Source organism: Homo sapiens, chromosome 18 (genome assembly GCF_000001405.40).
Source record: "Homo sapiens chromosome 18, GRCh38.p14 Primary Assembly".
Classification (NCBI taxonomy): domain Eukaryota; kingdom Metazoa; phylum Chordata; class Mammalia; order Primates; family Hominidae; genus Homo; species Homo sapiens.
The window spans coordinates 79,418,931-79,446,640 of NC_000018.10; the positions used below are offsets into that span (position 1 = coordinate 79,418,931).

General features: G+C 58.1%; 2 protein-coding genes and 1 long non-coding RNA gene across 14 annotated transcripts in view, besides 1 other annotated feature; all 3 read left to right on the top strand.

Annotated features, from left to right (window-relative positions):
* The window catches only part of NFATC1 (nuclear factor of activated T cells 1), a 133,394-nt gene that overhangs the window by 23,001 nt on the left and 82,683 nt on the right, over nucleotides 1-27,710 (top strand). For all 12 annotated transcript variants that reach the window (NM_001278669.2, NM_006162.5, NM_001278670.2 and 9 more), the window contains one exon: nucleotides 14,649-14,808. In NM_001278669.2, the coding sequence (NP_001265598.1) occupies nucleotides 14,649-14,808 (160 nt within the window). The remainder of the gene's footprint in view (nucleotides 1-14,648; nucleotides 14,809-27,710) is intronic.
* On the top strand, nucleotides 319-3,973 carry LOC124904333 (octapeptide-repeat protein T2). The gene has a single exon (XM_047437989.1). It carries the CDS (start codon nucleotides 1,211-1,213, stop codon nucleotides 2,114-2,116), a length of 906 nt encoding a protein of 301 aa, XP_047293945.1. The 5' UTR covers nucleotides 319-1,210; the 3' UTR covers nucleotides 2,117-3,973.
* LOC124904334 (uncharacterized) lies at nucleotides 14,818-27,552 on the top strand. Its single transcript, XR_007066426.1, has 2 exons — nucleotides 14,818-26,068; nucleotides 26,349-27,552. It is a non-coding gene; the product is annotated as an uncharacterized LOC124904334 (long non-coding RNA).
* Nucleotides 24,495-25,341: an enhancer, noted in NCBI's record as "H3K4me1 hESC enhancer chr18:77203425-77204271 (GRCh37/hg19 assembly coordinates)". NCBI's record gives its function as "activates a minimal SCP1, AML or CMV promoter by ChIP-STARR-seq in primed H9 embryonic stem cells {active_cell/tissue: H9 hESC(primed)}" and the evidence as "EXISTENCE:reporter gene assay evidence [ECO:0000049][PMID:30033119]".

The following is a 27,710-nucleotide window of genomic DNA, read 5'->3' on the forward strand; positions in this document are numbered from 1 at the left end:
GTCCTTCTCAATGTTACTCTGTCCATGTCTGTTGTTAGCCATGAGGAGGAGAAGGCACTCTGTTCCTGGAAAGGAGAAAACAACGTGGCTTTTTGCTCAGATATTTTTTTTTGAGCCAGGGTCTTGCTCTGTTGTCCAGGCTGGAGTGCAGGGTGTCATCACAGCTTACTGCAGCCTCGACCTCCTGGGCTCAGGTGACCCTCCCACCTCAGCCTGCCGAGTAGCTGGGACCACAGACGTGCGGCACCACACCTGGCTAATTGTTTAAGTTTTGTGGAGACAGAGTCTTGCCGTGTTGTCCAGGGCTGATCTGGAACTCCTGGCCTGAAGCAGTCCTCCCGACCTGTCCTCTCAAAGTGCTGGCATTGCAGGTGTGAGCCAGAGTTTTACAGTCAGATCATGGAGATCTGAAATGTTGCCCCATCTCACCGAAGACCGAGTGCCCGGGAGCCCCCCTAGGAGGGTCAGAACCTGCCCGGGAGCCCCCTAGGAGGGTCAGAACCTGCCCGGGAGCCCCCCTAGGAGGGCCGGCACCTGCCTGCCCGGGAGCCCCCCTAGGAGGGCCGGCACCTGCCTGCCCGGGAGCCCCCCTAGGAGGGCCGGCACCTGCCTGCCCGGGAGCCCCCCTAGGAGGGTCAGAACCTGCCTGGTTAGCTCAGATGCCCCCGTGGAGACAGCGTGAGGGCGGCAGGGAGCTGGAAACCTTCCCAGGTTCCCAATTTTGAGATTTCCTAAGCTGCCTGTGGTCCAGCTGGGAGGAAGTGTCTGGTCCTGATGTGCGTCGGTGACCACAGACAAAACAGGATTTGCTCCTGCGCCAACGTTGGCTTTTGAGCAGCGGGATAGGTGGGCCTGGTGGTAGGTGCTTCGGCAGCCGGGCAGCCGCAGGGACTTCCTCCCTCGGGATTAAACCTGAGTCGGGAGTTGGAGGGCAACAGTTATTCACATTCAAAACCAGATCTTAAGTGCAAATTAACGTTTTTTGGATTCTTGAGCAAAATGTTTTCTACATTATGATGGGATTTTCTTTTTTATAAGTGCTTCTAGAACATCTCTGGAAGCTGGGTTAGACGCACAGGGCTTAGTCGGCTTTGGGGAGAGACAGTAGTTGTAAAGGCCACACCGGACGCCGTGTGCACCTCCCAAGGTTTCCCATGTGAGACCATGTGGCCTGCATGCTGCGTTCCATCAGCACTGGGCTGTGCGACAGATGTGTTTCCAGGCGAGGTTGCTGCAGAGGGGAAGAGGGGGACGTGTTTCCAGGCGACGTCGCTGCAGAGAGGAAGAGGGGGACGCGTTTCCAGGTGACGTCGCTGCAGAGAGGAAGAGGGGGACACGTTTCCAGGCGACGTCGCTGCAGAGAGGAAGAGGGGGACGCGTTTCCAGGCGACGTCGCTGCAGAGAGGAAGAGGGGGACACGTTTCCAGGTGACGTCGCTGCAGAGAGGAAGGAGGGTCGCGTTTCCAGGCGAGGTCGCTGCAGAGGGGAAGAGGGGGACGCCTTTCCAGGTGACTTCGCTGCAGAGAGGAAGAGGGGGACGCCTTTCCAGGTGACTTCGCTGCAGAGAGGAAGAGGCAGACGCATTTCCAGGCGAGGTCACTGCAAAGAGGAAGAGGGGGATGCGTTTCCAGGTGACATCGCTACAGACAGGAAGAGGGGGATGCGTTTCCGGGAGACGTCGCTGCAGAGGGGAAGAGGTGGATGCGTTTCCAGGCAAGGTCGCTGCAGAGAGGAAGAGGGGGTCGCATTTCCAGGCAGCATGGCTGCAGAGAGGAAGAGGAGGACGTGTTTCCAGGCGACGTTGCTGCAGAGAGGAAGAGGAGGACGCGTTTCCAGGCGATGTCGTTGCAGAGGGCAAGAGGGGAACGCGTTTCCAGGTGACGTCGCTGCAGAGGGGAAGAGGCGGATGCGTTTCCAGGTGACATTGCTGCAGAGAGGAAGAGGAAGATGCTTTTCCAGGCGACGTTGCTGCAGAGAGGAAGAGGGTGGGACGCATTTCCAGGAGACGTCGCTGAAGAGGGGAAGAGGGAGGCCCCTCCAGCAGGGCCACCTAGATGTTTGCTTTGCCCCGCGTGGAGTCATATTCCAGGAACCCCCGAACCCACCTGCAGCTTGATTCTGCTCCTCAGGGCCAGAGGTTCTAGTTTATGGGAGGAGTGTTTTCTCACTGGAAACATGGAGCCCACACACACTTCTACGCTGGAAGCCGTGATGTGTGTCAGGAACGTGTTCTGATGTTGGTGTGCAAAATCAGTATTGTGCCTTTGTCCCCTCTGACCCCCATCACGGCAGTTCTGAGGCTTGTGGGGCACCCCAGCTCCTCTCCCTCTGCACAGGCCACTGTTCCCAGAACTCGAGGGTTCCCTGACACCAAGATGACATGTGGCACAGACCTGGAATCACGAGGAAATGCCCGTCCTCCTCCCACGGGCAGACAGGTCGAGTGTGTTTCCAGAGACCGGGCCGTCCGTGGGGCAGTAGCGCCTGGATGACGTCTGCTTTCGCCTGGAGCCCTGGCTGCAAGGGGCGGTGCCGGGCAAGGGCCACCCCAGGGGTCTGGGAGTGCAGTGTCGGGCCTGTGGAGGTGGAGAGCAGGGATCAGCCTCTTTTTGTGGATGAGGAAATGGAGACACGTGGAAACTTCTGGTAAGAAGCTGTCAAGCCTCCAGGTTTCGGTTCTGGACAGGTGCGGGGCAGGTATTGGAGCACTTTGGGCTCTGAGGTCCACGTGGCCCAGCGGCCTCCAGGAGTCAGCTGCAAGGCGGAGTCCCTGTCCACAAGCTGCGTTGCAGGCACAGAGACCAGGAGAGGGCTGTGAAGCAACTCTGTGTTTACTGGGCTGAAGCAGCAGCTCTTGGCAGTGCCGCCACCATGGGCTGTGTCCTGTCCCCGTGGCGACATCACAGCTGAGCGCGAAGCTGGAAGCTTGGGCACGTCTTGGTGCTGGGTCTTCTCCGACCCCGAGGGCCAAGGGTGCTCTGTAGCTCCAGGCGTCAGAGTCTGAGCATCCTTTGTTTTGGCAACATCCAGGACAGGAGTCTTTGGAGAGTAACACATCCTTATTTTGAAAGATCCCTTTAGGTGATTTGAGAAACCGCTGTATTTGTTGTAGCTCCAAGTATTACCCGTGAATCACCTAGGCTGCTCTTCAGTGAACATCCAGAATGCCGTCAGTTCTTGTGAAACCCCCAAGTTTCCCGTAGGTCCAAGCTGAGAAGATTGAGTGAACTCTGAGAGCTGAGCCGGGCCGTCTTGGCACCACTAGAAACGGAATCAGTTCCATGACTGATCTGTGCCCCACCCCACATTAACTTGTGCAATATGACATTTCTGGTTTTGGTTTTTGTTTTATAAGCCATCCATGGCAAGTGCAGTCGGAGGCCCCCCACTGCCAAAACTTCCTGTGAGTAATAATGACAGATGGGCCCTGACCCTGGAGACGTCTGAGAAGGTGTTTGGGGTCCGAGAAGAGTCCGCGTGTGCAGTGACTGGAACCTGTCCCTGGTGTGAACTTGGGGATGAGTGGGTGACGGGGGTGGTGGGGGCCTGGGGCACTTCCCCGCCCTCCGGACCACACTGTTGCTCTCCAGCCACGAGAAGATGCAGCGGCCCCCGGCTGCAGCAGCTACTGTCCCGGAGGGCAGGGGAGTGAGGGAGAGGGAGGGTGTACGGCATGGGGCCTGCTGCCTGGGGCGCTGGGATCCCACAGCGAGGCCCTGTTCCCACTGCCCAGGGGCACTGAGATCCCACAGGGAGGCCCGGTTCCCACTGAGCTTGGGTTCCCAACGGGCTCCTTTTGCTTCCCAAGCACCCTCTCCCACCCTTGAGCTGCAAGGAATGTTTCAGAGCCATGGAAGGTGCTTTCTCCCATCTGTAGTTTTTCTGGGAGGGAGAAAGGCTGACATCGGGGGCTTTGTAGAAAGCGTGCTCTGGCCCACACGTTAACATTTGGGAGGAGGCCTACAGGGAGCTGTCGGCTCTGGGCGAGGGCTGGGGGCTGCCTCGGGGGCGGGGGTTCAGGGTCTTGAGCTCAGCTTCTCACCCATCCGGGGCAGGGCAGGGCAGATAGAGGGGTGGGGACAGTGTTGGGGGCTGCTGGGCCTGGGATGGCAGGGCCTGTGTCCAAAGCTGTTGTGAGGCTCACGAGATACAGGGGTGGACCTGGGAGGGTTGGGGCGCGTACAGAGGGGATGACTTCGATTTTTCCAAAGAACAGGGAAGGGTCTGTGTCCTGGTCGTACTCCAATCCCGTGTGGTGGAGCCACGGGACGCCATCAGTTTTTATGAAATCCCCAAATGTGTCCTTTAAAACAAAACCTCTGCACTCCGGCCTCACAGCCCAGATCCCGCGCGCTCCCGGTCTGTGGCTTTGACTTTGGTTTGAGTTCCTGGGCTGGGCTTACCTGGCTGGCAGGGCCGCAGCTGTGGCACTCCCTGTCTGGGGACGGAGGCTGCCCATGCACCCGGCTGTCCACCTTCTTCCCAAAGGCGGCGTCCTGGGCTCCCTCCCATGCGGACCCGGGATCCACTTGCCCAGCCTTGGGGAGGACAGATGGGGACAGCAGATCCTGCCCCAGGGTCATTGCCCGTGGCCACATCGGTCCTGGGAACTGTGGGTAGGCCATGGGCCGCTGGTGCCTGCACCACTGTCCTGGTGGAAGGGGCTGGACCTGGGACTGCCTGGGACAAGAGGCCAAGGCACAGATGGCTGCAGGGGCTGCCCCTGCATCCTGAGCCTCACCCGGCGGGCAGGAGGGCCGGGCTGGGTGTCCCCATCTTTCTGTTCCCACCCTGGCCCCAGTCACCTGCTTCTCATCCACCGATTCCATCTTTCCTGCTGGCTTGTGAGGCCCGTGCCCTCCTCTGGGCCGCCTTCCCTCCCATGGGCACAGAGCTTGGGTCCCACGTGGAGAGGAGGCCCTGCCCGCAGCCTCAGAGTCAGGCGGCCTTGGCTTCAGGGAGGGTTGGACGGGAGCCAGCCCATTGGACAGTAGCCCGGGGCCTCTGGGTGACCCTCCAGGGTGGGACAGCAGTGGTCCCAGGCCCCCCTCTGACTCCTGAAATCCTAAGGTTGCCCGGGCCGCCGAGCCCTCCCTCCACTCCCCGGCCTGCTGGGCAGGATTTTGTGAAAGGCCTTGTCTTGGGTCGTGGAAGAAAACCACGTGGTCTGTGGGGTCATCCCTGGGGCAGGCTGTGGGAGGGTGAAGGCTGCGTCCAGCGGCCAGGCCCAGCCAGAGGTCGGGAATCATGTCGGGGGTGACGCACAGATGCCGCCGCACTATCACCGAGAAACGCGGCGTGTGCGGGCCCACCTGGCCTCTTTAGGCCGGGCTCCGGGCTGCCCTCCAGGAAGGCCGACCTCTCCTGGGCGGGCAAAACTTTCTCAGGGCCGAGTTCTGCCGGCACAGGTCAGGGGGCAAAGCTGGCCTCCGAGGAGCCTCTGACCGCTGGCCACTGTGTGGTCTTGGGGCAGCTCCAGACACACAAGCCCAGAAGACCCAGAGGCTGCCTCACGTCGGAGAAATGCGCTGATCGTCTCTCTCTCTCTTTGTCTCTCCATCTCTGTCTCTCTCCGTCTCTGTCTGTCTCTCCATCTCTGTCTCCCTGTCTCTCTCTCTGTCTCTGTCTCTCTCTGTCTCTGTCTCTCCATCTCTTTCTCTGTCTCTCTCTGTCTCTCCGTCTGTCTCTCTGTCTCTCCGTCTGTCTCTCTGTCTCTCTTTCCGTCTCTGTCTCTCCATCTCTGTCTCTGTCCCTGTCTCTGTCTCTCTGTGTTTCTCTGTGTCTGTCTCTGTCTCTCTCCGTCTCTGTCTGTGTCTGTCCCTGTCTCTGTTTCTCTGTCTCTCTCTGTCTCTCTGTCTCTGACTCTCTGTGTCTGTCTGTCTCTGTCTCTCTGTCTCTCTCCATCTCTGTCTCTGTTTCTCTGTCTCTCTCTGTCTCTCCATCTCTGTCTCTTTCTCCATCTCTGTTTCTCCATTTCTCTGTCGCTCTGTCTCTCTGTGTCTCTCTCTGTCTCTGCCTCTCTGTGTCTGTCTCTCCGTCTCTGTCTCTCTGTCTCTCTGTGTCTATCTCTGTGTCTGTCTCTCTCTCTGTCTCCATCTCTCTCCATCTCTCTCTCCGTCTCTGTTTCTCTCTCTGTTTCTCTCTCTGTCTCTCCATCTCTGTCTCTCCATCTCTCTGTCTCTGTCGCTCTGTCTCTCTCTGTCTCTGCCTCTCTGTGTCTCTCTCCGTCTCTGTCTCTCCATCTGTCTCTCTGTCTCTGTCTCTCTGTTTCTCTCCCTGTCTCTGTCTCTCTGTTTCTCTCCCTGTCTCTGTCTCTCTGTTTCTCTCCCTGTCTCTGTCTCTCTCTCTGTCTGTCTTTCTTTCTTACTCTCTTTCTCTTTTAACTAAGGGAAAAGCCGTCACACAACCAAATGGCCATGAGGCCCGCGGCTGCCGGCTGAGGAGGGCTGCGGGAGGACCCTGAAACCCTCGCCCTCCTGAAGCTGCTCCTGTGGAGTCCTGTGGGCGGGTGTGGCCCTGCCGAGTTCAGAGTCTGTCGCTTCGTCTGTCTGGAAACTGCAGGAGTCATGAGCAGCCTTCACGGTTTTCACCTAAGCAATGAGCACGTGCGGGCTTTAACCCTCGGAAAATCAGAATTAAAGGATTTTACCCAAACCACTTAAACAAAGGAACTGCCTCTGCTCTGGGCTTCTGCTGCCGAGGGCGCGATTCCGGGATTCTCATCGTTCACCGGCGGAGTCGGGGCGACTCATGAGGAGAGTGTTTTCAGATGCTGGGGACGTGGCCTTTCTAAGGGAGAGGGACATGGCAGGGCCTCAGGCTCAGCTCTTTGGAAACTGAAGCCCATTCACCAGGTGGGCGGGGGAGGAGCTGGGCAGAGGTTGAGACACAAGACCTGAGAGCAGAGCAAAGTTTCTCATTTTTTTGGTTGTACAAATAACAAACACCGTTCACTGTAGAAGACTTTTAAACACAGATAAACCACGATAAATGAGTCCTGCACCAGCGTGGCAGCTCACACCTGGAATCCCAGCGCTTTGGGAGGCCGAGGCACCAGGATCGCTGGAGCCCAGGAGTTTGAGACCGCCCTGGGCAACATGGAGAGACCCCATCTCTACACAAAATATAACAATTAGCCAGGTGTGGTGGTGCGCCTGTGGTCCCAGCTGCTCGGGAGGCTGAGGTGGGAGGATCCCGTGAGGCCACTGCACTCTAGCCTGGGTGACAGAGCGAGACCCTGTCTCAGAAAAAAGAATTCGATAATCCTGCGATTGAGAATCAGACAGTGATCATTTCAGGATATGTCTTTTTTTTTTTTTCCTCCCCCTCTGTCCCAGCGCAGACGGCATCTCTGTCGCGAGCTTTCGGCTGAAAAAAAATCCCTCACGCCCTTCCCAGGCGAGGGAGACACAGGTTCAGGGGCATGAACGGCTCCTCCCGTGGAAAGGACTGTGTGGCCGGCTCCCCAGGCCACGGGGGCCACTGTCCTCCATGCCACGTCCCATGCCGCTTCCACCGCAGCGTGAGGACAGCAGGACCTGAGCCACGAGCCACACTGCTGTGGGACCCGTGTCGGGACTCGCAGGGCCTGGCAGGTGTTTCCATTTGACCTGTGGGCTCACACTCGGCAGTTCTGGGCCCCCTGGTGTCCACCTCCATGGGAGCACCGTCCCCGGACCCCCAGAGGGGCGGCAAACACAGGAGTCCTGGGGAGTGTTGCCGGGGCGGGAAGCCCGGACCCCCCTGTGACTCAGCTGCAGCCTCTCTGGGTGTTGCTGCGGGTGTGGAGGTTGCATCTGGCTCAGTGAGAAGCATTTTTAAACTTGATTCTGCAGCCACTGCAGATTCGCGGGAAGCTGGGGGGAGGCAATGCCCCACCCGGCCCCCGGGGCTGCCCCATAGCAGCCACCATGCCCTGGCCCCAGGCCCCAGGAGGAGGATCCTGCCGGGAGCGCCTTGCATTTTGCCTAGGACCTTCTTAACTCTCCAGACTCATCAGGGAAGCTCTGCAGGAGCTCAGGATAAACAGGTCCTTGGCTTGAAGCCTGCCGGCATGGGTTGGGAATGGTGGGGGCTCCATGTCTGCAGCAGCCACGGCAGAAGCTGTGGCCACATGAGCTGGGCTCTGGGTGCGGCTGTGGCCATTGAGGAGGGAGCATGTCCCGGGTTCTTAGGTTAAGTGCGTCTTGGCAGGGGGGCCCGGGGCTGCAGCCCTTCGTGTACCCACGTGTCCGATGTCTCTGTGCCATGCCGTGACGTTGTCCTTCACGTAAAGTTTTCAAGACCCACGTCCCATTGTCTGTGAAATCACAAGGTTTTACTTTATGGACTGTGTGGAATGGACCCAGGGAAGGGGGACCAGTATATGCCCAATTTGCCAGCATGTGCAACAGTGAACTTCCCTGGACAGCTGGCCTTGGTGTGGCAGTGGGTGCTGTACGGCTGGCCTCTGTGCAGTGGGTTGGGGGGAGCTGGATGGCTGGCCTCTGTGCGGTGGGTGGGGGGGAGCTGGACGGCTGGCCTCTGTGCGGTGGGTGGGGGCTGTACCACTGGCCTCTGTGCGGTGGGTCGGGGGAAGCTGGACGGCTGGCCTCTGTGCAGTGGGTGGGGGGAGCTGGACGGCTGGCCTCTGTGCAGTGGGTCGGGGGGAGCTGGATGGCTGGCCTCTGTGCAGCGGGTGGGGGAGAGCTGGACAGCTGGCCTCTGTGCGGTGGAGGCTGGACGGCTGGCCTCTGTGTGGTGTGGGGGCTGGATGGCTGGCCTCTGTGCAGTGGGTGGGGTTGGGGGGGTGCTGGACGGCTGGCCTCTGTGCAGTGGGTGGGGGGGTGCTGGACGGCTGGTCTTTGTGCAGTGAGGGGGCTGGACAACTGCCCTCTGTGCAGGGGTCGGGGGGAGCTGGATGGCTGGCCTCTGTGGGGTGGGTGTAGGGGGAGCTGGACGGCTGGCCTCTGTGCAGTGAGTCGGGGAGGGGGGTGGCTAGACAGCTGGCCTCTGTGTGGTGGCAGGGCTGGACAGCTGGCCTCTGTGCAGTGGGTGGCGGGGGGGTGCTGGACGGCTGGCCTCTATGTAGTCGGGGAGGCTGGATGACTGGCCTCTGTGCAGTGGGGGCAGGCGCTGGATGACTGGCCTCTATGCAGTGGGTCGGGGGGCCTGGACAGCTGGCCTCTGTGCGGTGGGTTGGGGGGGCCTGGACGTCTGGCTTCTGTGCGGTGCGGGGGCCGGCCTCGGGCCGGTGGGCAGGCTGGAAGGTCAGCCAGGCCCTGTGGTGTCTTTAGTGAGAAACAGGAAATAAATCAAGGGGATGTTGTAGAAGTTTTACCGCTGCTGGTTTAGAAGTGTTTGTTTTTATTATTTGTATATAATGTGTTGTTTTCAGTCTTGCACTGGTGTTTTTAACTATCGTGTAAAGATGCAAACAGCAGGCCAGAAAACTGCCTTGATATATCACATTGGCAAAGACCAAGCGCACCCCGGACCCTAGTGGGTGAGCCGGACCCATTGGCAGTGGCCTTTGTGGTGCCTCCAGGGAGCCTCACGATGCTCACGCCTCTGACCAGTGGTTCTGCGCTCAGGGCATGACCGGAGATGTGGTCTGGGAGTTGGTTGTGTGGATGTTTGCGTTGCCAGCGTTTACAACAACAGAGGGGAACAGCCCACAGCCCAGCAGTACAATGAGGATGGTCCTTGTGATAAATGGGATGCTGTGATTAGATTGTTTCTGAATAAGCTAAAATGCTCAAAATGTGATCTTTCTTTTATAAAAAGGCCAGGTATGGTGATACGTGCCTGTAACCCCAGCACTTTGGGAGGCTGAGGTGGGAGGATCCCTTGAGCCCAGGAGTTGGAGAATGCAGTGAGCTGTGATCACACCCTCTAGCCTAGGCAGCAGAGCGAGACCTTGTTCTAAGAAATAAAAAGAGAAAAAGAAAAGACAAAGTACCAAATTATGTGTCTCATTTTCTTAAGATGTATCATTTTGTAAAAATGTTTATAGAAATACACCCAGTGGGCTGGGCACAGTGGCTCACGCCTGTAATCCCAGCACTTTGGGAGGCTGAAGCGGGCGGATCACCTGAGGTCAGGAGTTCGAGACCAGCCTGGCCAACATGGTGAAACTGTGTCTCTACTAAAAATACAAAAAATTAGCCGGTGTGGTGGTGGGCACCTGTACTCCCAGCTACTCTGGAGGCTGAGGCAGGAGCATTGCTTGAACCTGGGAGGCGGAGGCTGCAGTGAGCCGAGATGGCTCCACTGCACTCCAGCCTGGGCCACAGAGCGGGACTCCGTCTCAAAAAAAAAAAAAAAAAAAATGGAGAGAGAGAGAAACAGAGAAAAACACCCTTTGGCTCTGTGGGCGTCGGTCACCGTCCAGACCGGGTGGACGTTCGTCGGTCACCATCCAGACCAGGTGGATGTTGGATGCAAATTTCACCCGAGCTTTTTTTTTTATTTTTTCAGTTGTGTTGAGTGTCACTTTTTTAAAAAATTGACTTATGTTGAAGATGAGTTTGAAGTTGTTGGAATTATCTCAGTCCTGAGCTTAGGGCTTCAGCAAGCGAGTTGCCGTTCCGGGGGATGGGCTGGTCAGAGACCCCCGACTGAAGCACGCCTGCCCGAGGCTGCCCCAGGCGTCGTCCCCCAGAAGGAAGCACGCGGAGTGGAGTGGGGTGGAGAGCAGGCAGCAGCGGTCCCGTCTCCGCAGCAGTGCAGGCTCCTTTCCCGCTCATTTGGGCTCTTTTGTCTGAACCAGAGACACAGATTTGTAGAGCTGCCAAATTCATGCTGAAAATTTCTAACCAAAACCAATCATCTTAATTGTCTGGATTATGATATTTATTTTGTAAACCATTCTTGCTGTAAGCCATGCACACACTGTGTCACTAAATCTGCAAATGATTCCAGAGCCAAATGCAGTCCTGCACCGCGGCGTCGGGTCAACGGCGGACTTCACCTATGAGGGTTCTCGTGAGATCGTGAGAGCGTAGTTTTACTGCATCTTTTCCATGTTTAAATGTGTTTAGATTCACAAACTGTGACCGCTGTGGGGCAGTCACCCACGGTGTTCAGTGCAGCCACATGCCGTGCAGACGTGTACTGGGGAGCCGTGGGCCACGCCACGTGGCTAGGGTGTGCACTGGACACACCGAGTCGGTTCACACGAGTTCCCACGACGACAAAATGGCCTAAGGACGCGTTTTTCAGAATGTGTCCTTGTCATAAAGTGACACGTGGCTGCGTTTACACAAACTTATTCTTATGTAATAGTCAGCTGCAGAGTGGTTTAGACTGCCTTATCTTTAGGAAATGTGTCTGCCTTTAACCAGACCAGCGGTGGGGGGAGGCGGCTTTTCTTTTCTTCTTTCCTCCTCTCTCCTCTCTCTCGCTGTCTCTTCTCTGTCTCTTAACTTTCCTGGGAATCCAGTGAGCCCAGTTTTTTCACTGTGAATTTTGTTTTTGGTTTGTTTGTTTTGAGATGGAGTCTCACTCTGTTGCCCAGGCTGGATTGCAGTGGTGCAATTTCGGCTCACTGCAGCCTCCGCCTCCCAGGTTCAAGCAATTCTCCTGCTTCACCCTCCCAAGTGGCTAGGATTACAGGCACTCGCCACCATGCCCAGCTAATTTTTGTATTTTTAGTGGAGACGGGGTTTCACCCTGTTGGCCAGGATGGTCTTGGTCTCCTGACCTCAGGTGATCTGTCTGCCTCGGCCTCCCAAAGTGCTGGGATTACAGGCATGAGCCACCACGCCCGGCCATGAATTTTGTTTTTCATTTGTTTCTTTTTCAATTCATAGCAAAAGATAGGTGCAAGGTGCCTGAGACGGGCACCGCCTCGCATCATCTGCGACTTTGTTTGGTGCCTGCCTGTCCAGGAGCAGGTGTGGCCACTGCAGAGGGGCCCTTCATTGCCCAGCCCTGCAGCTGCCCCCTCTCCCTTCCCCAGAAACTCACAGCTGGCCGCGAGCTCTGTGCAGAGAAGTCTTTCTCTGGAGGCTCTTGTCCTTCCTGTGTGGAGGCCTGGGTCCAGCCGCCTTTCCTTCTGCCTGGCAGCGTTAGCTGATACTGGGTGTCCATGCTGATCACCTCACGTGGGAAACAGCTCTGACAGTACAGCCCATGAAGCTGCGTCTTGGAGATTCCTCTGTCAGGGAAGCTGTCGTGGCTGAGTTGGGGTCCAGCAGGCACCCGCAGGGCCCAAAACCCCACAGAGCGGAGGTGGGTGGTGAGCCTGCCAGGTGCATCTTTGGATAAATCCATTTCTGAGTTTTCAAATTACTATGAAGCTTCCAATGTCACAAAATATGTAGTCTTGTTCTTGCTAAGGAACATTTTAGGTGTTTGTATTTTTAAAAATTACGTAGTTGATTCCATTCAAGCTGCCTCCTGGGCTTTTTCCTCTTTAAACGAGTCTTCTATTCTGCCCATCGTTTTTAGTTTGTTTGTTTTGAGACAGAGTCTTGCCCTGTCGCCCAGGCTGAAGCACATGCGATCTTGGCTCACTGCCATCTCAACCTCCCCTGGCTCAGGCGATCCTCCCCGCTCAGCCTCCTGTGTGGCTGGGATCCTCCCCACTCAGCCTCCTGTGTGGCTGGGATCACAGATGTGCACCACCACGTCCTGCTCATGTTTTTATTTTTTGTTTCGTAGAGATGGGGTCTCTCCATGTTGCCCAGGCTGGTCTCGAACTCCTGAGCTCAAGTGATCTGTTCCCCTTGGCCTCCCAAAGTTTTGGGATTACAGGCATGAGCCACTGCGACTGGCCTTGTTTTTGTTGTTGTTTGTTGTTTTTTTTTAGATGGAGTCTCGCTCTGTCGCCAAGGCTGGAGTGCAGTGGCGCGATCTCGGCTCACTGCAACCTCCTCCTCTTCGGTATAAGCAATTCTCCTCCCTCAGCCTCTCGAGTAGCTGGGACTACAGGCCTCCGCCACCACGCCCGGCTAATTTTTGTATTTTTAGTAGAGACAGGGTTTCACCATGTTGGCCAGGATGGTCTCAATCTCCTGACCTTGTGATCCACCCGCCTCGGCCTCCCCGAGTGCTGGGGTTACAGGCGTGAGCCACCATGCCCGGCCCTTGTTTTGTTTTTAAGTCACTTTGGGTTCACAGTGTGTCCTGAGGTGTGGGGGCCTTCGGGGGGCTCGGGAGGCAGTTTCCTTTAACTTGCAGATGCCCCTGCTCTGCGACTGCATCGCATGGAACCTGCCCTTCTCGAGAAGCTGCCCCGCATGTCCCATGTCTCTGGGGCTTGTACTTAAAACTGACGTAGAATGATGGTCAGCAGCTCTAGGCAATAATTGAGTCCTGGCCAGAGGGGCTGGTTCTGAAGATGGGGGAGTCACAGGCCCTGTGTGGAGGGTGACCTCAGGAGCCCCGGCCCACGGTGCTCGGGGTGAGCCTGTGTGGTGAGGACAGTCGGCGGGCCCTGGGTCTCTGCCCACACGGAGGTGAGGACGGTCGGCGGGCCCTGGGTCTCTGGCCACATAGCGGTGAGGACAGCCGTTGGGCCCTGGACTGCCTCTGCCCACGCAGGGTCTTGCACCTGATCTGATGAGCAGTGCTGGTCCAGGGAGGGTCCCACCGCATCCTCCGCCTGCCTTGGCCCCTGCAGTAGGCAGTGCTGGGGAGACAGACTGAGCGGGAGAGGAGGCTGGGCCGGGGCTGCAGCGGCCACAGAGCCTTGGCCCTCCCAGAAACGGACTCTGATGGCAGAGGCGCCGGCCTCTTGCACAGGGTGGAAGGTGGTGCCTGCGTGGATGGTGGTGCACCGGGGCAGGCCACCCCCTAGATGCAAGAACCCCTTGGGTGCACCGTGTGGCCCCCAGGAGTGTTGAGACAGTCTGCCTGGGCCTCCTACAGAACACAGTTGGGAAGACACGCCGAGGGCACGGGCAGGACCTCACCTTAGCCTTTCACACCAAACATTCATCTCCTGAAAAGACAGGGGCCGTGGGGCCCCCAGCTGGGCTGTAGGCTCTGAGGACAGCCCCAGCACCTGTCACCCGCCAGGTCATGCAGCTCGTGTCCCTCTGTGCAAAGTAACCGAACAGCCTCCCACAGCCCTCACCGTCGTACCCCGCCCTGCTGCGTTTGCTCCCACCGCCCTCCATGGACGCCGTGTCCCTCCTCCTGGCCCTCAGTCAGGGCCTTCTGTTTGTCTTGCAGCAATCATGGAATTTGGGGGCTGGCGGCGCTGCGCACATCACAACTTCCAAACCCACTATTTTATAAAGGGCCCAGTCAGTCACCTGTCTCATGGCAGCCACACAGCTGGTTCATAGCGAGGAGAGGTTTGAGCTTCCTGGTTCTTAGGCCACAGCCCATCCCTCTTAGATTTTAAAACAGATTTTCAATGAGTTCTAAAACCTGTCTTACTGGAGGGTTAAGTAACTGATAGAAGCCTGTCATGAAGGAAGAGAAGCGTGTTAAGGTTGTGCTTGGAAAATGTTTCCATCTTAGAGAACTGGCCGGGCCGTGGCCACAGGTCACGATGAGTAAGCACTGCATTGACACAGGCTTCTCCATCTCCATGTCAGGACGTGCACTCGCCGATGAAGTGTCCACCCAAGATGGCGACGGGTGAGCACGGGCACGTGTGGCCCGGGCGAGGTCTGTGTGGTGCTGAACGCCTCCTCTGCTCTGTTCCCTTCCAGCCCGACCCTGCCCGCCCTGGACTGGCAGCTGCCGTCCCACTCAGGCCCGTATGAGCTTCGGATTGAGGTGCAGCCCAAGTCCCACCACCGAGCCCACTACGAGACGGAGGGCAGCCGGGGGGCCGTGAAGGCGTCGGCCGGAGGACACCCCATCGTGCAGGTAGGCACTGCGGCCAGACTCGCACGTCACTTGGTGCTTTTGTGGTCAAAAAGTAACTTTGGAGCCACAGCTAACTGTGCTTAGACTCTCCCAGCCAGGCCAGCTGAATGCTCTGTCGTGGTTAGTCCCGGGCGGCTGCTCACCGCCTCTGAGCTGGAATGGGAGCATGCCACAGCTCCTCCTGCTTCCACACGTGCAGGCCCTCTCTCGTTGTTTTCAGATTTGCCCGAAGCAGCTCTCGTATCCGTGGATGCTGCCTGTGGTGTGGATGTTTTGGGGGTTGATTCTCCCCTCTCTAAAGCCTCTGAACTTGGAGGCAGGAGTTCTCACCAGCAGCACCAGCCTCGCCTGGTGGGGGACCCTCAGAAATGCAGGTTCTGTGGCCCACCCAGGCTTGCAGGATCCCATACTCTGGGCTTGGGTGCTGGGGGGCACCAGGGCTCAAGGTGCTCCCCGAGGAGAGGAGGAGTGGCTTCCAGAGCGGGCCTGGGCCTGGCAGCCACATCCCTGCCGGGGTAGGCCTGGGCCTGGCAACCCTGCAGCCGCGTCCCTGCTGGGGTGGGCCTGACTCCCCCGGGCTGTGGTGTGGCTTCCTCACCTTCCTCACACCTTGCGGGAAAGCCACGTGGAGTTAGGCTGTCGAGGGAGGGGTGTAATGACCGCGCCAGGGACGGGCAGCGTCTGCACAGAGCCATGCTCCCTCTGCACCCCAGGTGTTGATGTGGATCCCGGGTAGCCGTGGGTGTTGGCATTTTCTTCGTTCCACCTGTTACCTCGTCAGCTATAGGCCCCAGGCCCTAGATCTGCTGCTTTGGCAGCCACAGAGCAGCAAGTGTGTCCAGCCCCAGGGCTCCAGGCTACGCGGCAGCACAGAGGATGTTTTCCGAGCACACCCCAACAGCAAAAAACCGGGTGCCCCAGCCCCGTTATTTAGGGAATGATGCAAGCCGGAAGGGGTGTTCAGCAGAGTGCCTCGTATTTTTATTTTCTTCCATTTAGATAAATAGTGGAGAGAAGGTGGCCGCAGGGACAAATGGCTGTTTGCCAACGCAGCAGCCGGCGGCAGGGAATTAGCGGGCAGGGCGCTGGGGTGAGGCGTTTTCGCCAGCACTTGCAGATGATGTTAATGTGATGTTTGTGGCCTGTGTGCTTGATGCCAATTAGTACCTCCCTCGTTGGTGCTTGAAGCAAGGAAATGCGGGAGACACCTGAGCGCACAGTGGCCCGTTTGACATTTAAAGTCTCCACCCTCCCAGGTGGGAAAGGTCAGACAGCGCTGCACCACGCTCCGTCACTGCAGGCCTGCACCTCCCCATCCCTGCCTCGGTTTTTACTGACCGAAAGCTTGTTATTGCTCAGTGGGAAGGATATTAGATAGGACAAGAAACGAGGCTGTGAAAGGAGGAGTGGAAATAAAGCAATAGAGAAATAATGGCCCAGTCCACCCTATTTGCTGTAAATTATGTCGGTGAGGGGCACTGACGTCGCCCTTTTCACTGTATCTGGATGAGGGGCGGGTGTAGGAATCGAGGCTGTTACTTGGAGGGTAAAGCAGGACCATGAGTGTGGAGAGAGCTCTGAGGTTTCTGTTTGTTTTGTTTTTTGGTTTGTTTGTTTTTTTTTTTTTTTTGAGACGGAGTCTCGCTCTCACCCGGGCTGGAGTGCAGTGGTGTGATCTCAGCTCACTGCAACCTCTGTCTCCTGGGTTCAAGTGATTCTCCTGCCTCAGCCTCCCGAGTAGCTGGGACTACAGGCAGCCCTGGGTTTTAATGGATGTATTTTCACCTGCCTGTGAGTAGCGCCGGTGCCTGGTGCCGCCCGTCTCTGCGGACACAGCTCAGTGCTTGGGTACTCTCCCTGCGTCTTCTGGAATCTTCTGGAATCCCGTCTCTGGTTCTGCCATCTGGGTGTCTTGGGCTGAGGGTGCAGAAATCTATCAATACAGATGCCACTGAGAGGATCCAGGTGTTCTGGAGGACTCAGGAAACTTGAAACAGTAATTAAAAATATCTTTAAAATGTACCCTCAACAATTATTCCAAATCAAGTGGCCCGTGTGTGCGCAGCAGCGACACGGGAGAGGCTGGCTCTGCGTTTCCACAGAAGGAGCCCTTTCCATTGAAACGCGGGAGAAAACGGTCCCCTGCACGGAGAATGTCAGGAGCTGTCAGCATATCTCATTTGTAGAAATTAGTAATTTAAAGAGTTTTGTGATGTATCTGTGGCAGAGTGGATTTCTGTCTCTGCAAGTGTGAGGTAAAAGCAGCTAAAAAGAGGGGGTTTTGGGGGTTAGTTTTCTCTTTCAGTTGGTGGACCACAAATTGGATAAAAATAGAATTTGTGCATAATTTAAAAACAAACGAGAATAGAAAGCTCTCAGTTGCCGTGGAAGCTCCTCGTAACCGCAGACGTGCCCTCGGTGCCGTCGGGTTATTTTAGTACATCCTTTGACGCGGCCCCTTTCCCGCTTTTCAGAAACGAGGCTCATCGCACTGGCCTGGGGGCGCGAGGACGAGGCCGTGGGTAGTGGGCGCTGCGGGCGGCTGGTCAGAGCCACTGGGAGCCGTTGGGAACAACTGGCGCGGGAGTTTCCTGCATTTGAGAAATGCTGTTCTCTTCGTTGTGAATCGTCTGTCCGCTGCATCTCAAAAAGCTTGTCCAGAAAATTAAAGCCCGCTGTCTCCTGCAGTGCAGCTGAGCCCTGGAGGGTGGCGGGGGGCCGGGGGATGTGGGTGTCAGCTCTCGCGGCCAGGGGCACGCTGTGCCCCCGCGCCCGGTATCCCCGTCCTCCCGCACCCGGCGTCCGCGTCCTCCCACGCCCGCTGTCTCCGTCCTCCCCATCCCCATGTGTTTCGCAGTTGGGAAGTGAAGCACGTGAGCAGAACGCAGCACCTTCTCTCCAGGAAGCATTCGGAGCATGGACTCTGGGTTAGGAAAGGGTGTTTGCTCCTCTGGATAGGTGCTCGCTCTTACTTGTGGGTGCTGAGGGGCGTGAGGGGGTCCGGCATCCGGGTACCTGTGGGCGCTGAGGGGCGTGAGGGGGTCCGGCATCCGGGGCTTCTCCCATTTAGGGCCTTTCCTTCAGAGGGAAGGAGGCCAGCCCCCTCCAGTGAGCACTGAGCGTGCCCCCTGCCGTCTCTGTGGGGATGTCATTGTTCCCACGCCGGGGAGAGACCACCCCAGGCCAGCCCCTATTCTTCTGGCCACATTGCCATGATCACACCGTCCGCACCCTGAGGCCACCCCCATTACGGCTGCCACGGCGCTAAAAACACCAGCATCAAAGCAACAGGGCCGTGGTTTAGCCTGGAAGAGCGGGGCCCTGGAGCCGTCTGCGAGGGGGTCTGGGTGGTTCAGGATGGCCGGCAGCCCCTGGTGGACGTGGTCCCTGCGGGGTCTGGCGGGACCTCGGCCATGGTGATGGGTGCGCCCCCTCTGCAGGGTGGGGCCTGCGGGTAAGGACAGTCCCGCCCCCTGTGCGTGTGAGGGGATAGTGGAGAGAGGGGTCTGGCGTGGGCCTCACTGCTCCTGGGAAACCAAAGATGAAGACGCCTGCTTAGGACTCACCTTGCCCTGGTAGAACAAGTGACTCAGACAGAGCCTCCCAGAGGCTTCTGGCCAGGCAGGGAGTGACCAGCAGCGCAGCCAGCCTCAGCTCCTGCCCACACAGCCCCCTTGTCACCGGCTCCTCCTGCCCCTGCTCCAGCACCTTGGCCACCAGTTCTCGGTGGGCCGGTCTGGATCTGCCGATGCCGGGACCTCGCCAGGCCGCTGGTTGCAGGGGAGGCTGAGGGGGCGTCCGCCTGCTGTCTGCTTCTCACCAGCATTTCCAGTGAGGCATGAAAGTGATGCGTGGCGGATGTTTCCCTCTGGCCTCAGCTTTCCCCCAAATCCCAGCTCACACTGAGTGTCCTGATGGTGGCACCTCGGGCAGCCGCCACCCTCTGCCCTCCACCCTCTGCCCTGACGGCAGGCTCTGCCTGAGGGGGAGGGTCTCTCTGTACACACAGTCTCCTCACCCTGGAGGGCCTGCTCTGCTCTCAACGGAGCTGGAACCAGGAGTTCGCGAGTGCTCTGGGTGGCTGCTGGCTTTTCTCCTTGTCTCACCTCCTCATCCGCACACAGCCTCTGCCCTCAGCGCTGCTCACCTCGGTATGTAGGCAGCCGGCATCAGGATGGTCTGGGGTGAGACAGGCAGTGTTCTTCCCCTTCTCTGGCCAGGGAGGGTGGAGAAGCACCCGGGCACAGCCATTGAGGCCTTTTCGTGCAACTCATTGCCTTTCTGGGCGTGAAGGTGGAGGCTGGTCCTCCACCTGCGTGTTCTCCATCTGGGGGACTGTGGTCCCGGAGGAGACCTGGAGTCCGGCTCCCCGCTCCGTCCGAGGAGGAGCTGAGCGGCGTGAGCAGTGCCCGCCCTGGTCACTCTGCCTTGCTTTCCTCCTCTCTGTTTCTGGTTGTGCCTCCTTCCTTCCCTCCTGCTCTCTTTGCCGTGGACTGCAGCCCCCTCGCCAGATGTGTTCCTCACATGAGTCAACCCGTCCTTGGCCTGCGTCCTCCACTGCTCGTGGCAGCTACACTCTCCCGGAGGTGGCCGGGAAGGGCCCAGGGCCTTGAGAAGATGTCTTTGCAGCACGTCCCCGGCCCTCGGCCTCCACCTCCATGGCACCCACCATCCCACGGGGGCACGTGGACCTCTGTGGGATATAGCCTGACCTCTGACCCAGGGGTCAAATAACTCAGGTCTGTTTACCAAGTCACCAAAATAACCTGCCCGATAGCATCTCACCCATCACACGGGAGGCCGGGCTCGTGTGAATAATTAATAGGTCACTGGAATGTGAAACGAGAAGCCTCGGCCCGTTCTGAAACAGCATTTTAGGTTTGCAGCTTATAATATTGTCAGTTAGGAGAAGGGCCAACTGAGTCTGCAAAGAGGTGAGGGCGGGTGGTCTGGGATCCTGCCTCAGCCGCGCGGGTGAGAGGGGCGGGCGGGTCAGGCGAAGACTCAGAGTCAGGAGGCCAGACTGGCCCCAGGGAGGGCTCCTGGCCATACCCCAAGCTCAGGACGCAGGGTGGGGCGGGCCCGCTGGTGCCCACAGTGGCCTTGGTGGGCCTCTCCTTCCATTGCCCAGCTTGTAGGTCAACTTTGCCTCCACAGATCCGTAACAGACGTTTTTTCTGTCATGTAAGAAACTTGACAGCTGAAGACCAAGGAGTGGAGCCTCCCGTGAGGCAGCTCTTCTTTTCCGGTTGTTAAAATGCGCGTCGGGCCAGTGGTTCTGACTAATTCTCACTTTGTGTGGTACCTTCAGCTGGCAGGGGCTCGGGGAGTGTTCAGTACCGTGAGGAGCAGGTTCCTGAGAGCCCGTGAATACCGTGGACAGATTACCACAGCACGCACTGTTCCACGCAGGGCCTCATCCACGCTTTCTTAAGTGGTTTGCCACACACAGGAGCTCCTGGTTCTCCATGTCCCCTGCCAGGCAGGGCTGTTAAACTGGAAAGCCGGGGAGGGACGTCGCTGGGACACATTGTTATCTGATCAGAGCTCCGAGGCCCCACCAGGAGCTGTGCTATTGCAGAACCTCAAACAGCAGCCGCTCCGGCCCCGCCCCAGGAGCCACGCAGAGGCCCACGCACGGGGAGGACGCCGTGGGGTGGAAACTAAAGTGCAGGTCTGACCACAAAACCACACGCCACGGCACCGCTGCTGCCAAATGCCGGAGGCCTGCAGGAGGCACGGATTAATTTTTTATGAGTCTGCCTTGGAACCTAGACAACAGCCCTCTCCTCTTTCAGCACAATTTCAGGGCGAATGACCGTCACTTCCCTGGACTGCTAAGCGCATAAACGCACAGGGAATTTCCTAGTTCCACATACGCCGTTGTTCCCGCAGCCCATGCAGCTGGGAGAGCACACATGGTTGCCGTCGGGCTGTGTCTGTTTTCCCAGGAGCAAGAACTCTCAGAAGTGCAGTGTTGAAGCCCGAGCCTTCCCCGTGTCAGCTTTTATGATGAACGAGGATTCACCATTTATTTCTCCCCTAAAGCAAAGCCCACGGGCTCTGTTTTGAGCGATGGGGACAGATGCTCGGTGCTGCTGGGAAGGTGTTCACGGGGCAGATTCGCTGTGTCAGGAGACCAACGTGGAATGAGGTCGGCCCAGCCAGTCACTGCTTAAAAACAGTAATGACAATATTTGAGAAAATGGGTGGAATTTTGTGGAGATTTACTGGCACGGGGAAGGCGTGTGGCCTCTGGCAGGTCTGCGACACTGATTTCTAACTACCTGTTCCACAGCTCCACTGCCTGGAAAAACTGGCAAAAATGTGGCCTGGGTCTCCTGACAGGCCTGGCCATTGGAGTGGGGGTGTGCAGCTGAGACAGGAAATACGAGGCGCATGAGTGTCCCCAAGCCCAGATCCTCAGCCTCCAAAATCTTCTATTAGTAATTTCAGAGCTTTGGCTTCTTGGTGCTTTGGGAAAATTTAAGATGACGCGTGGGCTCTGGCACGGCCGTTGCTAGTGACCTCTCCTAATAGCGCAGAAGGGCCTCCCAGGAGGCTTTCCTAGGTAGAGAGGGGTCTGCACGCCCACTGGAACATGCTCTATCCCAGCCTCAGAAAACCCACATTTGGTGCAGGTGGGACAGGAGGAGTGGACACGTCACCTGGAGACCACATGAGAAGCGGCCATCTGCAGCAGCAATCACCCCGTGGGGAGGCGGCGCCCTGGCAGCTCTCATGTGGGGCCTGGTCCTTCCTCGCTGCCTGAGCAATGGGCCCTGCTTCCCCGCAGACACCGTGGTGCCCCTGGGCCACACCCAGCAGGTGTCCAGTGACCGAGGGTGGTGTTGGCCATGGCAGGTCCCTGCCCGTTTCTCCGAGGACCTGGGGCTGTGACCCAGCTGGGTTCTCCCGGGAAGGAGCGGCCACTGTCTGCACTGTCCAGTGCTGAGGGTGGCAGCCATTTCTGAAGCCTCCCAGGTTTGTGCCCTGCTGTGTCTGAACAGCTCCGGAGTGCAGGGTCTCTGTGTCAGTGCCGGTTCTAAGAGGAACGAGATGTGGTTTCAGAGACACTCCTCTTCTCTGAGGAGCTGCTGGGCGGGACGGCTGCTTGCTTTCTTTGTCTGTGACGTTGGTGGCTGTTCCTTGCCCAGGCCCTGCCCAGGCCAGACGTGGGAGTGGCGGCTGGGAGCACCCATGGGCGTGTGCCCGTCTGGGCTGGGCTCGTGTCCGTGGACCTGCCTCAAGCCACACCTCCCTCCTCCAGGCAGGACACCGGGCCTTGTCTGTGGACAGAGGCGCTTTGCTGGGAACAGCACAGATGGCCCCTGGGCCCTGCGGAGCCGAGACGCACCATCATACACACTTGGAGCACATAGACTGACCAGGTCTCACCCTGCGAGGCTCCCTGAGGCCATGTCCTAGGGAAATAGAAGGTTTCACCCGGAGATTGGGGAGTGCAGGGCTGTGGCGCTGCAGGGTGCGGGCCCTGAAGGAGGGGCAGGGGTGCTGCTGGATGGTGGCTCTTCCACCCCAGGATTCCTCGGGCCCTTCACCCCTGTGTGTCTGGACTGGGTATCGCTGTAGCTGTCGGGCTCTGGAGGTGCACATGGCTGCTGGGCGGGCAGCGCTCCTGGGCCTCTCTCCCCCGTGATTTCGGTTTTGATGTGTTTGAGCCACTGACCAGCAGGCTTAGGGGCCATTCTGGAGCTGGGAGGGCTTGTGGGGGAGGCAGGATGAACAGGGGCTGCTTGCCGGTCCTCAGGCCACCCTGCCAGCTCCTTGATGTGTCTCCCTGAGATCAGCCAGGGCATCCCGGCTGTGGGTGGGCTGTGACCTGAGCCCGTCAGGCCCTGCTGGGGTAGACTGGGGAGAAGTGCTGAGCGGAAACCACCTCACTTCTGACAAATGACAAGCGCTCCTGCCGCTTGGTGTCAGGCGACGCGACTCTCAGTGGCACGGATGTCTCTAGAAGGTTGCCGTTTCTCCCTTCGTGGCCGTGGGCTGTGGATTCTGTGTGCTTCTGGCCCTGGGGTCACGGGGTTGCGGCGTTTCCCACTTGCCTGTTTCAGGAGTTGCATTCTAGATGATTCTCTCTCCATAGAAGGTCGAGGTTTCTCAGCATGGATTAATTGATTAGATTTAATTAAATCTAAACGTGGTGTTTCCGGGCAGAATCTTCTTCAGCCAAAGTGAGCGTGGCCGTCTCTTCTCTGGGCGCTTCCAGGTGCGTTGGGGCCCCTGCACCCTCCACGTCAGTGCCCTGGCTCCGTGGCCCTGTCGGTGCTCTGGTGAGTCTGGGGTTCGTGCCGAGCGCCATTGCCTCCAGGTCGAGGTGGGAAGCGCGCTGGTGGGGCAAGGTGGTCCCTGCATGGCACAGGTTGGGAGAGCAGCCGGGAGGGCAGCGGGCCGAGGCGGTGGGGGAGGGCACCAGTTCTCCACGGCAAGCACGGCCTCTGGGGCTGCTCTTCCGGAGAGACGTGGAGACCCGCGTGCACGTGTGGAGACTGGCACGTGTGAGGGGCCCACAGGTGTGGCCGGGCGGCCTTTCTCCTCCCCACCTCTGTCCACCCTCGCCGAGGCGTCGGTCCTGCTGAGCAGCCTCTGCTGCCTTCGTGCAGGTGACAGCGCACGTGCCATTCACGGGCGCCATGTCTCCAAGAAGAGGGGCTCCTGCCGCGTGCCTGTTCTGGGGTTGCCACTCAACATCCTTCCAGCACCTTCTCTGGGCTTCCGGTTTGAATGATCTTTCTCCAAAGTCGGCGGAAGGGGCTAGAAAAGTAGGGACCTGGGAAGAAAGCCCAGACACCTTGGAGCCGGGGTCCGGGAAACAGGCCCTGGCAGCTCAGCGCTGCTTCTCTGGAGTGGGGATACAATGTTGGTTCACAGACGTGCGGTGGCGGCGGCGGGTGGTGGCAGCAGTGTGCGGTTGTTGGCGCCACGTGCTCACGCTGGGTCCCTCCTGGGGAGCTTCTGCTCCGGCGGGCCACGCCTTGCTGTAGCCTGCAGGTCATCTGGTTGGTGTCTGGGGGAGGTCTGGGGCCCCAGCCCGGAGCTCAGCTCTGAGCATCAAGAAACCCGAGTTTCTCCCCACTCCCACCCAGACAGCTCCCCACTCCCACCCGGACAGCTCCCCACTCCCACCCGGACAGCAGCAGCTGTGTTTGGAAGGGGACACACCAGAGCTTCCCTTGTAGCAAGTGAGGCACGCTCAGCTGGAGCCTGGCAGTCCTGCAGCTCCGCCTGCCCCCTTTTGAAAACCAAAAATCCCAAGAGACTTATGTTGAAACAGCCCTTCCCGGTCAGGACTGAGCCTGTGGCTGAGTGCAGTTTTTCAGTCGCGGCTGGAAGGTCCCTGTGCGGGGCGGCGAGTCCCTCTAGATTTGCTTTACAGCCACAAATTCAGTTTTATCTGTGGATCTGAACACGATCTATGAATCACTAGGAAAGCAACTGTGTTCACGGGAAGGATTCTCAGAATTGAGCTGACACTCCGTGGTGTGAACTCAGTATTGTCAGCTTGTGCACCGCGCGTATGGACACACACCTGCACGCACTGTCACACACACTTGCCTCGGGCCCCCACACACACCGCCCTGAGAGCTAGGAAGACGAATCGGTCAGTCACACGGATTCTGCAGACAGCTTCCTTCACCAGGCATGGTAGTGAGGGCAGCGCCCACTACTCACCCAGGGCCTCTCGTGCAGGAAACTGCATGGACACGTCGTCCTGTTCCTGTCATGGGAAGGGGCCTGGAGCCGTCCCTCGGGGGGTGGGGAGGAGCTAGTTTCCCAGTCGGCGCCCGTGCATTCACCGGTCTGAGAATCCACTCAGCAGGCTTGCTATGTAACCTCCGCCGTTCAGGCCTCAGCATGCAGCAAGCCCGTGGGGTCCCGTCTGCCCAGCCTCTGCCTCGGTTCCTGCCGGGCACATGGACGCTTCCCTTGAATCCTTCTGCCGACGGCATCTGTGGGAGGGCAGGTACGATCGATCCTGGTCCTGTCCCCCTAGCCCTGGGCGGGTGTCCCGGCACCTCCAGGCACAAGGCCCCTTCCCCAGGCTGCCCAGAGACCCCAGCCCCGAGGTGCTGGTCCGCCCACCCTCTCTGGGAAGGGCTGTGCCACATGGCGAAAGCTGCTGTGGGTCCTGGTACCTGGTGTCCCTGCCTGCCAGGGCTCATGATGCCAACAGTGCCAGGTTTGTGGGATTTGGGGGTCAGGAGGGCCTGGCCCTGCTCCTGCAAGGCCGAGATCTGTTCCCTTGGAGGGTTGAGGGAGTGTTGGCTGTAGGGTTCCTGGAGGCCTCTCTCATGCACTCTGGGTCTGTCAGGAGGCTGGCAACTGTGGCCAAACAGGTAGAAATAAAACCTGAAATGAGAAAAAAACTTTTTTCTAGAACTTCCCAGAGAGCAGTGAGCTGGTGCCAGTGGGTCAGAGGCTTGTCACATGTGGTGTGTGTGTGTGCGTGTGTGTGTGCACGCTCTGGGGGGGTGTGCACATTTCCCAGTGTGGCTGTGCGTGTGTGTGTGCCCACGTGTGTTCACAGAACACCAGGCTTTGCCCCGACTCCTGGCTCAGGCCTGAGTCTCCAGCCATGGCGTCCCCGTTCCTCCCGTTCCTTCTCTGCACTGCACACTGGGAACCAGGACAAGAGGTGTGCGGCGTCAGGCTGTGTCCTTCCCCCACCCACCCCGAGCCCACGCTGCTCTGGAGGGAGACCCCAGCTTCCCCCGCCTACCCCGAGCCCTCGCTGCTCTGGAGGGAGACCCCAGGCCCCTCAGGCCCTTTCCCGCATCTGAAGGGGCCAGGGCAGGGCGTCCGGCAGATGAAGCTGCCCCTTAAAGCCAGGTCTGGGCCGGTTTACAGGGAAGCACTGCTCACGTACAACCTGGCAGACCACACCAGCGCCGCACACACAGGCACCCCTGTGGGCACCCACGTGCCCGACCCCGCAGACCACACCGGCACTGCACACACAGGCACCCCCGTGGGCACACACGTGCCCGACCCCACAGACCACACCGGCGCTGCACACACAGGCACCCCCGTGGCCACACACATGCCTGCACACGCACACTTCTGGTGCACACGCCCACACTCACGGAGGCTTCTGCACACCACACAGCCAGCAGGTGAGGAAGTGGACGCTGCGTGGCTGTCTCTTGGTGGCTTCACCTGGAATGTCACCGTGGACCCCAGAGCCCGAAGCCCCGGCAAGCACAGAAATCACACCGGCAGCCTGTCCCACTTCGGGCAGGTGAGGCCTGGCTGAGAAAAGGGGGAAGGAGAGGGAGGATGCGGGGGTGTGTCCTGGTCCTCCACCCGTTTCGGGTTTGGGGTGCTCCCTTCGACTACTGGCTCCATTTTTGATGTCTTTTACTTTTGTTTCGATTTTTCCTGGTATCTTGAGTAAAGTCTCCCTGGAGCATCAAATTGGATTTTTCTTACAAGTACCGTGTGCTGTTGACTCATCTGCTTTGGTGTGCCGTGGGTCACGTGGGCCTGGGCTGTGGGTAAGGTGGGCCTCGTTCCTGCAGGAACACCTGGCTCTGCAGCAGTGGCTGCCGTATCATCCTGGCCAGGCCCCTGTACCGAGGGTGGAGCCACGGGGTCTCTGATGCCTTCCTTCTCGTGCTTTGGTGGAGAATGTGGCTGGACGTCCTCCCATGACAGATGCACTCTCCTGCCTGGTTCCCTGGCCCCGGGCCCAGCCCTGAGAGACGCACCACGGCCTTCACCTGGAAGTGTCACCTCTGGCTGCTGTTGTGGGTGATGAGGATTCCAGGGCTGAGAAGAGGACCCTAGACGCTGTTCACACAGCGTGGCAATCTCTCAAATTAATCCAGCATGGGGGGAATCGGGGTTGAAACCGGTTTGTGAGCCGGATTTTCTGTCCCTGTGTACTTCCTTGGGGCAATTTGAAAAATGCAGATTTTACTCGTAGGCCCTAAATGGATAATTTCCCTTTAGGCTGACGGCTGCTCCTGTGCCCTGCCTGGAGAGAAGCCTGACTCCAGGTCGCCTTGGCTCCGTTTCTGTGCAGCAGCTCAGACTATGGGGTGGAGGGTGAGACATTCCCACCCGTGAGCTGCCTCTGTCCACCCCACACCTCCCTCCCCTGGGTGCACGCAGCTGAGTTCCACGTTGAATAAATTTGGCCTCAATCATCCACTACCCACCATGTCACCGTGTAAGTGCTGAGGTCAGCACAGGAGCTAAAAACAAACATTGTAACGTGTAGGAGACTCAGTAGCTCTTATACCTCGGCAGTGGAATAAGAATAATACATTTTGTTTAGTTAAGGTTGAGGCAGAGGGAGGTCATTGTTGTGACAGGGAATTTTATAAATAGGATTCTGACAGGTTCTGTACTGTGCCAGAGGCAGAAAGCCCATGCAGTGGGGCCCGTGACGTATTTAAATGACTTTTCTTAAAATGAACTTCATGTTTTAAATAATAGATGTTTACCTCCCAGGTGAAACCTTAAATATTCCCATTTTCACTGAAATGGCATGTTTTTTAAAGGATACAGTCATACCCCAAATTCACAGCATTCCACACACCATCAGAGAACTGCCACAGGGATCCTGGGGGAATTTTAAATTGTAGTTTTAAGACCACGTGACCCTGGAGCTGCCCCGGTGCCCCTCCCCCACCCCCCGAGGTGGTTTTGGTCAGCGACTCATTTACATTTTTTTCTATGTAAATTAAATTTTTAGGTATTAAATCTCGGAAAATGGAATACTGCGTGGCAGAATCCGCCTCTTAATCTGCTTTTCTTTTTACATTTCCCATCATAAAGATGTTTGAGTCCCACAGAGAGTTAAGGTATCTCGGGAAGTTCATTAACTTGGCAAACGGCTGGAGTCTCTCTTCCGAGGAGCTGAGGGCTGGACAGGC